The following is a 14,742-nucleotide window of genomic DNA, read 5'->3' on the forward strand; positions in this document are numbered from 1 at the left end:
CGATGCAGCGGCCCCTGTGCCCGGGCCACGGGCCCTCCAGTTCAGGCAGTGGTGACTCGGCCTGGGCTTTATTAGAAAAGGCACCCTGAATACACAGGGCTCCGTAGGGAAGGTGTCTGTACTGCGGAGGGTTCGGGAACACAAACACGATTTCCCAGGCAGAATGTCAGGAACGGCAGGTAGCTGGCAGGCAGGCTGCGATGGGCCCAGGGAAATGGGCAGAGGGCTCTGATTCGGATCACGTCCAGTGAAACCGGCCCTTACAGTCTGCCATCTGCACTGCCAGCCCCTACGCTGGCCCAAGAACCCCTGCTTTCAGGGAAAAGAGGGTCCGTGGAGGGCTGCACCACTGAGGTGTGCTCAGGAAGGGCTTAGGGATGGACCAGGCGTCCCGGGCCTGGCACAGAGAGTCTGCCGCTTCTCGCCCTTCAACAGCCAGACCCTGGGAATGGGTCAGGTTTCAACCCTGCATCCAACCCTCCAGGACAGAGGGCACCCCAAGTCTATCCTCTGGAGCTCCTATCAGGGCAGGTGCTGAGACCACGGAGGGGCCTCTGATGGCCCCTTCCTCTGTTTTCAGACACCAAAGCCTCTTAGGGTCCCCATTGCCCCCAACAGAGCTAACCCCTGCTACCTGGGTCAAAGAGCTAACTCAATGTCACAGGGAAGGTGTCTGTGCTCCTCCCTACCCCACCTGTCATCAAAGCTGATTGCTAGGGCCTCCCCACCTTCCCCCGTCCCCGAGCCGCCTCTGTCCCTCAGCACTGAACTCCTGCAGGCACTCATCCTTCCGGCCTGGTCTCCCCACCCCACGTGGCTGGCAGGTGGCAAGGCCTACATTTAGGCCAGGGACTCAGGTGCCAGAGTCTGTACTCTGAGCTGCAAACCTCTACATACTGTCAGAACTCTGGAGAGGCAATATTTGAAGATAGATGGCTGACAATTTTCCAGAACTGGTGGGAGACATGCATCTACAGACACAGAAAGCACAACGATGCATGAAAAAGCAGAATGGAATCAAGACAACTTCAAAGCGAAACAGCAGACCGCTGAGACAGAGTTCAGAAGACCCCGCAATATGGGCAACGTTATCCAACAAAGGAAATGCAGTCACAGAAGCCAGGACCAGTGAGCCTCTGAGAACTAAGAGAAAGCCACTGTCAAGCTAGAATCGCATTCACAGGGAAGCTATTCTGCAAGAAAGCTCAGGATATAAACATATACCAGGCTGAAAACTAAGAAAGTTTAAAAAACTCACCAGGAAGCAGTCAGGGGAGGATCAACAACATGGAGGTGGGCAGAGAAAGGGGGAGGGAAGAAAAGGTGAGCAAAGAACTGGGGGCTACGGAGAGAAATCTAAACAGACTTCATCTGAACAACACAGGAAGAAGAAGAAAGAAGAAGGAAGAGGAGGAGGAGGAGGAGGGGAGGACGAGGAGGGAGGGAGAAGAACAAAGAAGGAAGAAGGAAGAAGTTTACCTAACTTGTGGGGTTGAAGTGAAGGAAAATTTAAATAGTAGAGAACGGCAAGAGGTGAATGGGGAAGGGGTGCTCAGTGTTAAAGTGTCTGTAACCCACGTGTTGTAGAGGTCAGGGACATAAAATAGGGACTTTAGACATTTTAAGCTCATGCAGTAACGTTTCACCTTAACTGCCAGGAATAAAGCACATCACCTCCAAAGCAGCGGTCAGGTTGGGGCAGGATCCATCAGAAAGAATTTTAAGGAGAAGAAAGAAATAATTTGTTGGATAACGAATATGGCTGTTAGTTACACCCAGTGGCTTACGCCTGCAATCCCACACTTTGGGAGGCTGAGGCAGGTGGATCACTTGAGCCCAGGAGTTCAAGACCAGCCTGTGAGGCATAGCAAAACCCCATCTCTACAAAAGCTACAAAAAATAGCCAAGTGTGGTGGTGCATGCCTGTGGTTCCAGCTACTCAGGAGGCTGAGGCGGGAAGATGGCCTGAGCGTGGGAGGCAGAGGCTGCAGTGAGCTGAGATTGCACCACTGCACTCCAGCCTGGGCAAAAGAGCAAAAACCTGCCTCAAAAAAAAAGAAAGTAATTAAATAAATGTTTTAAAATACGGCTGTTATATACATGCACACATACGTGCACACACACACACACACACACACATGGGTATGGCTGGTTGCCTCCCAAAAGAGGTGCACCATTGCATCTATAAAGTCTTACCAAAAATAACCAAGCTTGAATCTGATCAAACCTCTAGATCTAACTGCCAATTTATAGGAAATCCAGGCAACAAAGGAACATTTTAAATGACATGACAGGGCTAAAATCAAGTAAAATTTAGAACCTAGGAAGGAAAACTCTGTGGGACAAACAATACAGTGTCTTCAACAGATAAATCTCAAGGACTGAAAAAAAAAAAAAAGGTAGGAAGAAGAAACCTAGAGATTAACTGAGGACTTCATGACAGGTGCCAATCACAGTGTATGAACACTGCTTGGACCCAGAGACTCCTGGTACCAAAAGTCAAACCACAAACTAAAAAAGTGATTTTAAACACCATCAGGGATATATCAACATTGGGTAAAAATCTGCTAATAATAAAGAATGGTTCATCTTGTCTAAATATGTACATCATCAATGCAGTAAAAGAGTCCCTATCTTTTAGAGAGCTAGGCACTAGAATGTTATTGATGAAATGACATGGTGACTGGGGTCTGATTCTGAAAGACTGAGAGGCTGGGGATGGGAGGGAGGCCTAAACGCAAGTACTGGAGGGACTGCCCTGGCCTAAGCCACCTGACCACGCCCCAGGGCTCACTCCACCTGCTCTCCCCACCGCTGGGTATGCCTGTAATTCTCTACAATAGAAAGTTCAATTTCAAAAAAAAAAAAATTTCTAAATATCTATGGGCCAAAGAAGAAGCCATAACAGTTAAAAAGAATAAGAATGAAAAAAATACATACAAAATCTTGTAAGATTCTGTTTACTATAATTAGAGGAAACTTGGTAGCCTTAAATACTTATTATGACAATAATAATACGAACTGAAAGACGAGATATATCTTTAAGAAATTAGAAAAGCAACAGTAGAACAAATCCAAAGAAAACAGATGAAAGCAGATAATACATAAATGAAATGAAATGTAATCATTACATACACTCATATACACCAAAATAATTTTAAAAAGTGATTCTCTCAAAAGACCAATACAAGACAAACTTCTGTTATGAGTGATTTAGAAAATAAAAAGAATAGGCACAAATTAAAAAACATTAGGAGTTTAATCACCTAGCCTCAGATATGGCAGAGATTTAAAAAATAAAAAAATACAAAGGAACAACTTGAGGCCAGTAAGTTTTAAAACTTACATGAAGTAGACACATTTCTAGAAAAACATTCCAAAGTTGACAAAAAATAAATAGAAAACAGAATTAACCCTATAATCATGAACTAAATTGAATTAATACTTTAAAATCTTTTCACAAAAATCATTTTAAAGGCAGCGACAGCCACGTTTCAACTAATGGATCATGCAACTTTAAACAAACTCTTCAAGAGAATGCAAAGGGCAGGCAGGATCCTGAGCCAATCCTATGAGGGGAGAATAAATATCCTTTTAAAAGAACTGGGCAAAGTATAAAAAAGACAGAAAAATTACAGTCTTGGTCATAAATACAGTCACAAAAATCTCAAATAAACTATGAGCAAGCTTAATCTAATAGTCTATAGAAAAGACAGCAGACCAATACACCTGGTGTTTTAACACAAGAAAACACAAGAAAAGGCCGGGCGCGGTGGCTCACGCCTGTAATCCCAGCACTTTGGGAGGCTGAGACAGGCGGATCACGAGGTCAGGAGATGGAGACCATCCTGGCTAACACGGTGAAACCCCGTCCCTACTAAAAATACAAAAAAAAAAAATAGCCGGGTGCGGTCGTGGGTGCCTGTAGTCCCAGCTACTCCGGAGGCCGAGGCAGGAGAATGGCGTGAACCCGGGAGGCGGAGCCTGCAGTGAGCCGAGATCGCGCCACTGCACTCCAGCCTGGGGGACAGAGCGAGACTCCGTCCCAAAAAAAAAAAAAAAAAAAAAAAAAGAAAACACAAGAAAAGCAACCTATGTACAAACCACCTATAAATCCAACTCACCGTTAATTATGATCATCTTCAGAATGAAAGTAAGTATATGTTAAAATCCAGCTATTCATTATAAAAGCTGTTAGCAAACTAGAAATAAAAGAGCGCTTCTTTAACCAAAAAAGAGTTATCTATTAAAAGGTCCCAGCAAATATTGCTTTTAATGGTGAATCCTGAAAAAGCTGATGTAATGATACAGGCACAAAGGGAGGGAACACAACTCCTGATCCAGACTCCAAGGCTACAGATACTGAGCTCCTCCCACCCCCACCACCTGCAAAGAGAAGAATGACAGGGAAGTCAATAGAGCTAATAAGGAAATGTAATACGGTGTTAGATAAGATCAACATAGAAATCCAATTCCACTTCAACATACTGCAACAAGCAGAAAACCTAACATAAGAAACAAAAAAAATACAAGGCACCTAGAAGTATTTCTAACAAAAAATGAGAACGACCTTTATGGATAAAAATTATAAAATATATTGAAAGACTTTTTTTCTTTGTTTGAGACAGGTTCTCACTCTGTCACCCAGGCTGGAGTGCAGTGGCACGATCATGGCTCATCGCAGTCTCCACCTCCTGGGCGATCCTCCCACCTTAGCCCCTCAAGTAGCTGAGACTACAGAGGCGCGCCATCACGCATGGCTAGTTTACGTATTATTATTTTTTAAAGAGGGGGTTTCGCCATGTTGCTCAGGCTGGTCTTGAACTCCTGAGCTCAAGCAATTCATTTGCCCCAGCCTCCCAAAGTGCTAGGATTACAGGTGTGATCAGGCCACTGTGCCTGGCCCTGAAAGACATTTTTAAATGGTCTAAATAAATGGCAAGATAGCTCGTATTCAAGGATAGGAAGACTTACTATTCTAAAGATAGTGATTCTCTCCAAACGGAACTACAGGTCCAGTGCAAGGTAGTTCATGATCTTAAAAGCTGAATATAAAACTACATGGAAGAAGAACTGAGAAGCAGTTGAGGTGGTCCCAAAGAGGGTAGATGCAGGTCCTTTGCAGATTACTGTGGAAAAAACAGGGTGTTCCACAAATGCAGCTGGGACAAACACTTATCCTACTATTCTACGGGGAACAAAAAGATGGGATTCGTCCCTATTCACACCACAGGCCAAAATGGATTCCATGTGGATTAAGACTCAAATGTGAAAGACAAAATGTTGAAATTTTTAGCAGACACTATTGGAAAATATCCTTGGAATAGAAAACTCAAGATGTGAAAAGTGCTTCTTACGACAAAATATGACGTTGTTACATCTGACTACATTTAAATTAAAATTTTCTGCTCACTAGACAGCCTTAAAAAGTGAAAGGCTGAATCTCAGAGGAGCTACTTTAACACAGCAACTGACAAAGGACCTGTATCCGTAACATGTAAGTAACTCCTATAAAGCCGCCAGAAGGAGAGAATTCCAAAGAACAGCAGAAGGTATGAATGGGTTGGTCACAGAAGACCCTGACAGCAGGGGAAACAAAGGATCAAACGCTGGACCATGTTAGTGAGGGCGGAAAGGCAAATCAGACCCCTGGAGACCCCACTTTACGCCCACCGACCCAACTACGGGTGGAGAGGCAGGGAGCGGGGGCGTGGGAGCAGCAGCAGCATGAATGAGACGGGGCCTTCTAGAACAGTGGGCTTTCTCATAGACAGCCGAATCTCGCTTTCGTGACCCAGCAACAAGCCCTCTCCTTAGGACAGCCACCCTTGAAAAATTCCTGCACGTCTACACAAGGAGAATGGTACAAGGATATTCATTATAGCAGCATTAACTACAAACCGCCCAAATATCAACAGAGCAACAGATAAACAGTGGAATATTGAGAGTGTAGAATTGTATCTGGCATGAAAGTGAACGAATCCCAGCCATGTGGAATGACGTAAATGAATCTTAGAAACAATGCTGAGTTAAAAAAACACAAAAAACAAAAACAAAAATAAACAAGCTGCAGAAAACGACGTCAGTATGATTTCGATTATTAAAAGCTCGGAAAAGCAAATCCAAACCGTATGCTGACTGAGGAAGCATACTTACACGGCAAAACTAGTTTTTTAAAGAAAGTAACTCAGTGCTAAACCCTATTCTCAGCGTTGTGTTTTGGGGAGTGGTGAATGGCTTTACTACAAACGTGTACATTTATTACCCGGCCTGTGAGCACAACGGCTTGGGGCTCCCTTGGAGGAGACCGGCCCTGCTTAAACCAGCACAGGGAAATGTCTTGCCCCACTTCCACCAAAAGTGACTCGCTTGTGACACAAGGTCCCCTTTATATTATCATAATAAAGGAGGAAACGCCAGTTTAGAGGACAGAGTGACGGCACAAAATCCTACCATCCTGAATTCCTGGTGACAGAGGACACTCAACAGGTGGGATAAGAACATTTATACAATGACCTGCTTGGGATCTGAGCCTGGAACGCGGCTGAGACCAGAACCCTCTCGAGTGAAAACCAACCAGCTCCTGCGGCACCTTCCACGGGACAAGGACGAAAAAGCACTATTCCTTCGCCGGCCAACTCTTAAAGGGGATTTATGGCATGAACCTGATCACAGAAAACACACTCCACAAACACTGAGGGTCCTTTACACATGCCATCCTAAAAGAAGGTGGATGCTGGCCTGTCCTGCTTTACTGGACAGTATTTGAAAGGCTGGATGAAGCAATCTTAAACGTTACAATACCTGCAGATCAGAAGCCTGACTGCAGGGTAAAATCACCTAGCTTTCATGCATCGAAAATCACTTTCTCACAAAAAGATTCACTTACATTCCATTTTAAATGGATCTATTCAAAAATTTAAACAAAAATGTCTGACAGAAGAAAATATATTATTTCTTTCATCCTATTTTTAATATTATAAACAGAATTGTTGCCCTCACAATACAAAATCACTAAGCAGTATAAAAGCCAGCTTCCAGAATGCTGGAAAGAATTGGGCTCTGCCCTTCCTGAGAGCCCTGCCCCGTGCTTCTCCTGGGGGCCGAAAGTCCTGGTTGCTAACGGTGATGGTCCCCAGGGTGGTCCGGGCCCCTGCACACATCTTGACTGGGTTTAGTCAAATGAGGATGAAGAAATCCCCAGCACTGAGTTTTATCTTGAGATAAAAGAAACATCAAAGGAATCTGCATTTGAAATTGCCATTCCGTTAGTTTCTCACCTCACTTGGCTTAACTTGAATGATATGGTTGCCAGCCAACACCAGACTCCAATTCTTGGGACTTTGTCTGAAGCAAGGGCTGTGGTTTCTAAACCCAATGATTCAAAAGCTGAAGCTGCAGACACACCTTTAAATCCCAGGCAGTGACTTTTCCACTTTGCTTTCACTGAGCTGTCAGATGTTCTTAAGCCATATAACATATTCCCCAGAATCCAGCATCTTAAACTGTCTTCAAGGACTGCTATAACTGATCATGCCTTTGCTTTCAAAAATAAGCCCCGAAAAAAAGGACAAAAACAAACAATCCAGAGGTAGTGGCACCACGCGCCACCGAGGAGCTTCCTCGAGAGCAGTCCCGTGCCCTGCAGACGCTGAATTTAGACTTCAGCGTGAAGGTACAAAGGGTTCCATTCTCCTTAGCTGACTATTTCATCAAAAGCACAGGGTCACTTTTTAGAAAACATCCCTTAAGTGAAAAATGCTCTTGAAGACTTTGCTCTAATGTGACCGATGGGAAGGTTGGGAAAACGATGTTCTGTCTCACTAAAATTTTAATCTGTAAGCCCAATGATAAGCATTTTTACAAAGAAACAGATAAAAGTGATGTGAACTGGGATGCTTTAGATTTCTAGAGTATTCTTAGGAGCCAAAATCATCTCTAACCTTAATTGTGAGACTTGGTTGAAAGGGTCTTTCTACCCACGGCCTCCTGGCTGAGCTGGGCGGGCAGGGGGCATTTCCCTCTTGACATTTAAAGAATTGCTTCCTGTAAAGAACACAGGCTAGGGCACTGACCCGACTCCCTCAACCCCATTCTAAAAGCAGTTTAAAAAAAAGAAGAAAAAAGGAAAAAAGATATAAATCTCTCCAAAAACACAGATCCCACAAGCAGACAGCAGCCATAGAATTCTGGAAGCCAGTCGGGGGCTGGCTGACCAGAGAGCTGAAGCCAGGCTGGTCTGAAGGCCAGAATGGCCCAGGGAAGGCTGAGCTATAAAGAGCATGTGACCCCTCATCCCTTCTGCCCCCCATACAGGGACCAACCCCATTCCCCCAGAATTCCCCAGGCTTGGTGCTATCAGGCTGAGGGCAGGAGCGCCAGCATGGGCAGTAAACAGGGGCAGTGAGAGCTGACATGCCAAGGGGTGAGGCTGTGTGAGCCAGGCCTGGACTCCAGGGAGGAGCTGGGAGGGTCCTCTCTGGGCTAAGAGAACAGGACAACAGGCAGTGGCATCCAGGACCACCAGGAAGTGATCAGGTCCCTGTCTGCCACCTGGCCAGGAAGATAAGCAGTCAACATGCCCCGCCCAGCTTGTTAGAGACTCACTCTTAGACGCTGGCCAGCCAGGATCACCAAACATTTGGGAAAGACTCTAATTTGAAAAACAGAAAAGCAGACCAAAACAAAGGCCCCCTCTAGCCTCTGTACCCACGTGGGTTCCAGTCTGTTGACTTGTTCACTTCTTTACTGTCTGCCCCTCCCTGCAATCGCCCAGGAAAACGCAAAGCTGGAGGAGGTGTGGCATCTGGGTTGCTCTCTCTGGTCCCGCCAGTACCCAGAGCTGTCCCCAGAATATGAGACGGCCACGATGCTGGAAGGAAGGACAAGAATGAGGAGGAGGAGGGCTTAGCACAGCTCATCAGTCCCATAACAGCAAAGTAGGGGCCAGGGAGGGGCGGGCGGGGCACAGCCACAAGGACAGATGCTGGGTAGCCAGGAGGAATGCTGAAGGGTGAGCCGTGGCGGATGCTGAAAAAGAACGCACTCAGCAACGGCCATGAGGTTTCTTTAAACCCAACAGCACAACTCAGCGGTGCCCGCGCCCCTCATTCCCTGCTCGCTGAAGACTGCTACTCAAGTTCAACCACTCACTGGAGGATTGAGCTCTCCACAAGAAACTTCTGGACCCTACACAAACAAGCCTGCTGCTGTTGCTACTGCATCTGGAATTCACTCGGGTTCTGGAGGCCCATCTATTGTCTATCCCCAAAAGCCTGCATCTGCATAGTCACACCAGCTTGTGTTTTTCCAGCTCGGAGAGTGGCCGGAGCCACTACCCAACTCCAGCAACAAAACTCCTGATGTGCTTACGCTGGAAAACCCAGCATCAGGGTTCCCAGGAGAAAAACCAAGGGGAGACGCACAGGACAGCCCACATTCAGCACACACTGAAATAAAAGCATGGAACACACACTGCCTGACAGGGACAGAGTGAGCCTTCATCTCCAGCTCCCTGGAGCGCTTGCAGTGCACAGGGCAGGGCCTGCCCTCCATGAGTACACAGCTGGATGAGGGGGACCCGCAAGAAAGCAGAAAGCTATGCAAAGCATGTGCCTAACCGCCTGCTAGTCCCCATTTCACAGATGTGGAAAACTGAGGCAGGGAGGTAGAGAAATCTGCCTAGGTCACATGGTTGGGAGTGAAAAGCTGAGTCTGGCTGACATAAAGTTGACAGGCTCACTCTGGGTGTTAGCTTCTTGTGCTTGATGTGTGTGACACGTTACTATAAACTCAATGGCTTGAAACAACGTATGTTTATTATCTTACAGTTCCGGAGGCCAGAGTCTGACATGGGGTTTACGGAGCGAAAGTCAGAAAGCCAGCAGGGCTGTGCTTCTTCTGCAGGCTCCAGGGGAGAATCTGCTCCTGGCCTTCTCTAGCTTCCGGAGGCTGCCATGTCCCCTGGCTCCTGGTCCCTTCTCTCCTCAACACCAGCACCTGCATGGCCCTGTCGACACTCTGTCTGCATACCTCCTCTGACTCCGATCCTCTTGATTTCTTCCTTAAAGAACCCTCGTGAAGACAAAGGGCCCACCCTGATGATCCAGGACAACCTCCTCATCTCCAGTGAGTAACAACCCCATCTGCAGAGCTCCTTTGGCCGGGTAAGGTTACACAGTCACAGGGGCTGAGGATTAGCTGAGGGACATTTCGGGGGTTCCATTATTCTGTCAACCGCACTCTGGCTCCTTGGCCGAGATCAGACTAGAGGGGCAAGAACAGAATTGGGGCCAGGTGAGGAGGCACCTGCAACAGCCACATGGGTGACACCTGTGGCTCGCCACGCGTGGCAATGCTGGAGCTGTGAGCAGCCGCCAGGCTCAGCACACGTGTTGATAGCTTTAAAGAGGTATATTTTACACTCTGCCCTTCTCAAATGTACAATCCAACAATCTTTTAGTAGATTTACCAAGATTTTAGAACATTTTCACATTTGACTGGGACCCTTCCCTCTGCACACACTTTAATGGGCAGCTGCCAGTGCTGGCTGACAGGCCATGCATGGGACTGGAGAGAAATAGGAGTCAAGGGGACTCTTGGGATCCTGAGCCCGGAGGTTGCCCTGAGTAGGAGAGGCCGCGGGAGAAGCAAGTTTGCAGGGGAAGATCAGGAGCCTGCTTTCAAACTTGCTGAGTCTGAGAACGCCCAGCTGGGGATCGACGGCAAGCAGGCTCTAGGATCTGGAAGGCAGGTGAGATCCAGGCGGGAGCAGACATTCGAGCGGCAGAATCAAGATGGTGTTGTGATCTATGATTTGACTGGATGAGGCCAGGATATCACCAAGGGAATGACTCAGTGGAAACAAGGAGTGGGCCGGAGACAAGCCCTGGGGCGCTTGGATGTGATGATGCTGGAGAGATAAGAAAAACCCACCAAGGCACCTGAGGACTGGTGGCCGGGGCGGGGGAAGGTACCAGGAGCATGTGGTGTGGTAAGGAGGTGCTTCCACCAAGTCAACACTGGTGAGAGGCCATGGGCTGAGGCCGGGCATGGAAGCTGGCAACAGGGAGTCACTGGTGACACGAAACCAGGGGCTGGCTGCTGGGAGCCCAGAGAAGCAGGGTCGACGCCCCAGAAACCTGGGCTCCCTGCAGGCCAAAGTGCCCTCCCTCATCTCACCTGAAATCAACAGGGAGGGCACCAAAGACCGTCGCCAACCTCCTCACATCTGGAGTGGGCAAGGGCTCAGGACGGGGCTGGCTCAAGGCGCAGGGAGATCGAGTTCTGCCCACCTGGACTCCATCTCTCTTCTCTGGTCAACAACATGAATGGCGGCAACACTAGGAGACATCCCCGCAGGAAATGCCACACCTCTCTCTAATCTCCAGACAGCAGACACCCCTTCCCCACTAACCAAAACAGAAACAAGACACAAAAACTTCAAAACAAGAAAGTGTGGACTGGCAAAGCTGTCTGCACCAGCGCCTCTGCACCGGGCTCCCTGGAGGACGCGGTCATCAGTTCCGCGCAGGCACTGGGGGTCTGCGAATCTTGGTTCATAAAAAATCACCCTGAATAAATAATGAACGGTGCAACCTCTCTGGAAGGCAATTTGATAATGTGTGTTAAAGTCCCCAAGTAAATATTTATGCCATTGGCTGGACTCATAAAAGTTATGATATATTCATAGAATGCACCCAAATTTATTTTAAAATAATAGGTACTTTTAACACATTAAACCCTAATTTGTTTAAAAAATCAAACATATATACTCTTCAGCATATATATGTACATGTGCTTACATTGTATATAGCTTTTACATTTTAATTAGGGCCATATTATGCATGCTTTTCCCCTAGTAATCACTGTGAGCACTTTCCACATCAATGAATATAAAAACGCACGTGTTTATATATATACACACACACACATAGATATTCACACATACTCACATATGTACATGTATATGTAGTATTTATGCGGAAGATTCCATTCAAGAACAAAAATGAAATGTTCTCACACATCTTCCCAGAGAAAAAAAAAAATAAAAGAAAAAGTCTCCAAAAAACCTTGGCACTAAGAGCTGATGTTCTCATGTTCTGACCTTAAAGACAACTGGCGATGAGGAGGAAGACGATGAGGAGGGCGCCCTACCAGCCCTGATCTTGCCCTCTCAGGACACCTGGGGACACAGGTGCTCACTGTCCACACCTGCTGCGCTGCAGACCACTAACAACCAAAACCTTCTGAAGAAGAGAAGGCTTTGTTTAACTGAGTTTTTAATTTTATGTGATGCTGAATATTTATGGTATGAACATCTGAGCCTTTGCTCTTGAACTGAATGTCCTTCCAGGAACACAGCCTCCTTCTCTGGGTGAAGCTCCACCTGCCAGACCCTCCGCCTTCACTCTGCCCTGCTGCACTCCTTCCTCCTGTGGGCTACTTGGGCCCCTGGGAACAGGACTGACCGGGAAGGGTGTGTGTCCTGCCCCTTCCCTGTGCCGGGATGGGAGTCTGGTGAGAAGGGGGTGCACAGGGGTTCCACCCGCCATACTCGGCATCTTTCTAGGCAAGTCAGAATGTGCACAGGAAGGAAGCTCTGACTAAGCTACCTCGAACTATTCTCAACAATTTCTAAATGACACAGTCCCTGGTTTGTCAGAAGAGAAGTAAGTAGCAAAAGACAGGTGACTGCATTCACGCCACTTTCCCTTCCCCCAGTGTAACCCCAAACCCCGAGCCCCCTTACAGCTCTCCTATAGAAAGGGAGCCTCCTTGGCAGACATTCTCACACCCTGGGCCATGGCAGGCTGCGGGCACTGGGCCTAAGGGTGGGCTCAGGAGGACACACCTCCGCAGGGCTCCAAAGGGGACCCGCTGGTGGCAGAGCCTGAACACAGCACAGGCGGTAGCAGGGTCTCCAGGAGCCGGCAGCATCGCTCCCGGAAGCTCTCCAAAAGCAAGAGGCCCGTCGACTCCCCTTCATGGTGGATAATCAAGCGACCAGATCTTCAAACCCAACTTTCCAAAACCTAGTGGTTAACCTAAAATTCCTCGCATTTTAAATGGAAATGGTAATGAAACTGAAATTTGGGGGAAGAAACTTAATGTATCTGTTTTCTCATTTTTCTCAGTGATAGAATCAGTAACCATTTTAAGGCTAATAACTTGATAAATGTCAGTCTAAATATATTATTTATATGTTATAAAGAGAATCACCAAAACTCAAAATAACACTGCAAGTAACAAAATCAGAAGGTTGGAGAAAAGAGACGGCAGAAAGTGTCTGTGCCGACGGGCTACTCTCTCACATCGTCTGAAGGTGCTGGAACAGGAAAGCACAGTTTAGGGAAAGCGTATGAGCTCATAAGAGTTCACACAATAAGAACTAAAAAGAGAGCACGGCCTTCCAAATCACCAGAAGGAAAAGAAACCACACACACCAGACCAAATAAAAGGTAAGAAAGCCCATATCCAAGAAGTCAAATAGGAAACAAAACAAGAAGCATTCACAACAGAAAACAGGGTCGGGCACAACAGCTCACGCCTGTAATCACGGTGCTTTGGGAGGCTAAGGCGGGAGGGGGATCGTTTGAGGCCAGAAGTTTGAGACCAACCTGGCCAACATCATAAGACCCCATCTTTCCAAAAAATTAAAAAGTCAGCCAGCAGTGGTGACACGTGCCTGTGGTTCCAGCTACTCGGAAGGCTGAGGCAGGAGCACTGCTTGAGCCTGGGAGGTAGAGGCTGCAGTGAGCCATGATCATGCCACTGTACTCCAGCCTGGGCGACAGAGTGAGGCCCCAGCTCAAAAAACAAAAACAGATAAACAGAATATAAAATTGGATGAAAATTTTAGGAGAAATATGTCCATTTTATCAACATTCATAAATAACACAGAGTCACATGAAAATTACCAGATTGGATAAAAAACAGGACTGAACAATCATTATATTAAAAACAAATCCATACTGGTACCAAAACAGAGATATAGATCAATGGAACAGAACAGAGCCCTCAGAAATAACACCGCATATCTACAACTATCTGATCTTTGACAAACCTGAGAAAAACAAGCAATGGGGAAAGGATTCCCTATTTAATAAATGGTGCTGGGAAAACTGGCTAGCCATATGTAGAAAGCTGAAACTGGATCCCTTCCTTACATCTTATATAAAAATTAATTCAAGATGGATTAAAGACTTAAACATTAGACCTAAAACCATAAAAACCCTAGAAGAAAACCTAGGCAATACCATTCAGGACATAGGCATGGGCAAGGACTTCATGTCTAAAACACCAAAAGCAATGGCAACAAAAGCCAAAATTGACATATGGGATCTAATTAAACTAAAGAGCTTCTGCACAGCAAAAGAAACTACCATCAGAGTGAACAGGCAACCTACAAAATGGGAGAAAATTTTCGCAACCTACTCATCTGACAAAGGGCTAATATCCAGAATCTACAATGAACTCAAACAAATTTACAAGAAAAAAACAAACAACCCCATCAAAAAGTGGGCGAAGGACATGAACAGACACTTCTCAAAAGAAGACATTTATGCAGCCAAAAAACACATGAAAAAATGCTCACCATCACCGGCCATCAGAGAAATGCAAATCAAAACCACAATGAGATACCATCTCACCCCAGTTAGAATGGCAATCATTAAAAAGTCAGGAAACAACAGGTGCTGGAGAGGATGTGGAGAAATAGGAACACTTTTACACTGTTGCTGG

General features: G+C 46.4%; 1 protein-coding gene across 50 annotated transcripts in view, besides 3 other annotated features; it reads right to left on the reverse strand.

Annotated features, from left to right (window-relative positions):
- The window catches only part of HDAC4 (histone deacetylase 4), a 353,482-nt gene that overhangs the window by 156,112 nt on the left and 182,628 nt on the right, over positions 1 to 14,742 (reverse strand). The window lies entirely within an intron of this gene.
- Positions 8,896 to 9,401: an enhancer, noted in NCBI's record as "H3K4me1 hESC enhancer chr2:240134871-240135376 (GRCh37/hg19 assembly coordinates)". NCBI's record gives its function as "activates a minimal SCP1, AML or CMV promoter by ChIP-STARR-seq in naive H9 embryonic stem cells {active_cell/tissue: H9 hESC(naive)}" and the evidence as "EXISTENCE:reporter gene assay evidence [ECO:0000049][PMID:30033119]".
- Positions 10,129 to 10,827: an enhancer, noted in NCBI's record as "H3K27ac-H3K4me1 hESC enhancer chr2:240136104-240136802 (GRCh37/hg19 assembly coordinates)". NCBI's record gives its function as "activates a minimal SCP1, AML or CMV promoter by ChIP-STARR-seq in naive H9 embryonic stem cells {active_cell/tissue: H9 hESC(naive)}" and the evidence as "EXISTENCE:reporter gene assay evidence [ECO:0000049][PMID:30033119]".
- Positions 10,828 to 11,526: an enhancer, noted in NCBI's record as "H3K27ac-H3K4me1 hESC enhancer chr2:240136803-240137501 (GRCh37/hg19 assembly coordinates)". NCBI's record gives its function as "activates a minimal SCP1, AML or CMV promoter by ChIP-STARR-seq in primed H9 embryonic stem cells {active_cell/tissue: H9 hESC(primed)}" and the evidence as "EXISTENCE:reporter gene assay evidence [ECO:0000049][PMID:30033119]".

The sequence above is a fragment of the Homo sapiens genome, chromosome 2 (assembly GCF_000001405.40).
Source record: "Homo sapiens chromosome 2, GRCh38.p14 Primary Assembly".
In the NCBI taxonomy this organism is placed as follows: Eukaryota; Metazoa; Chordata; class Mammalia; order Primates; family Hominidae; genus Homo; species Homo sapiens.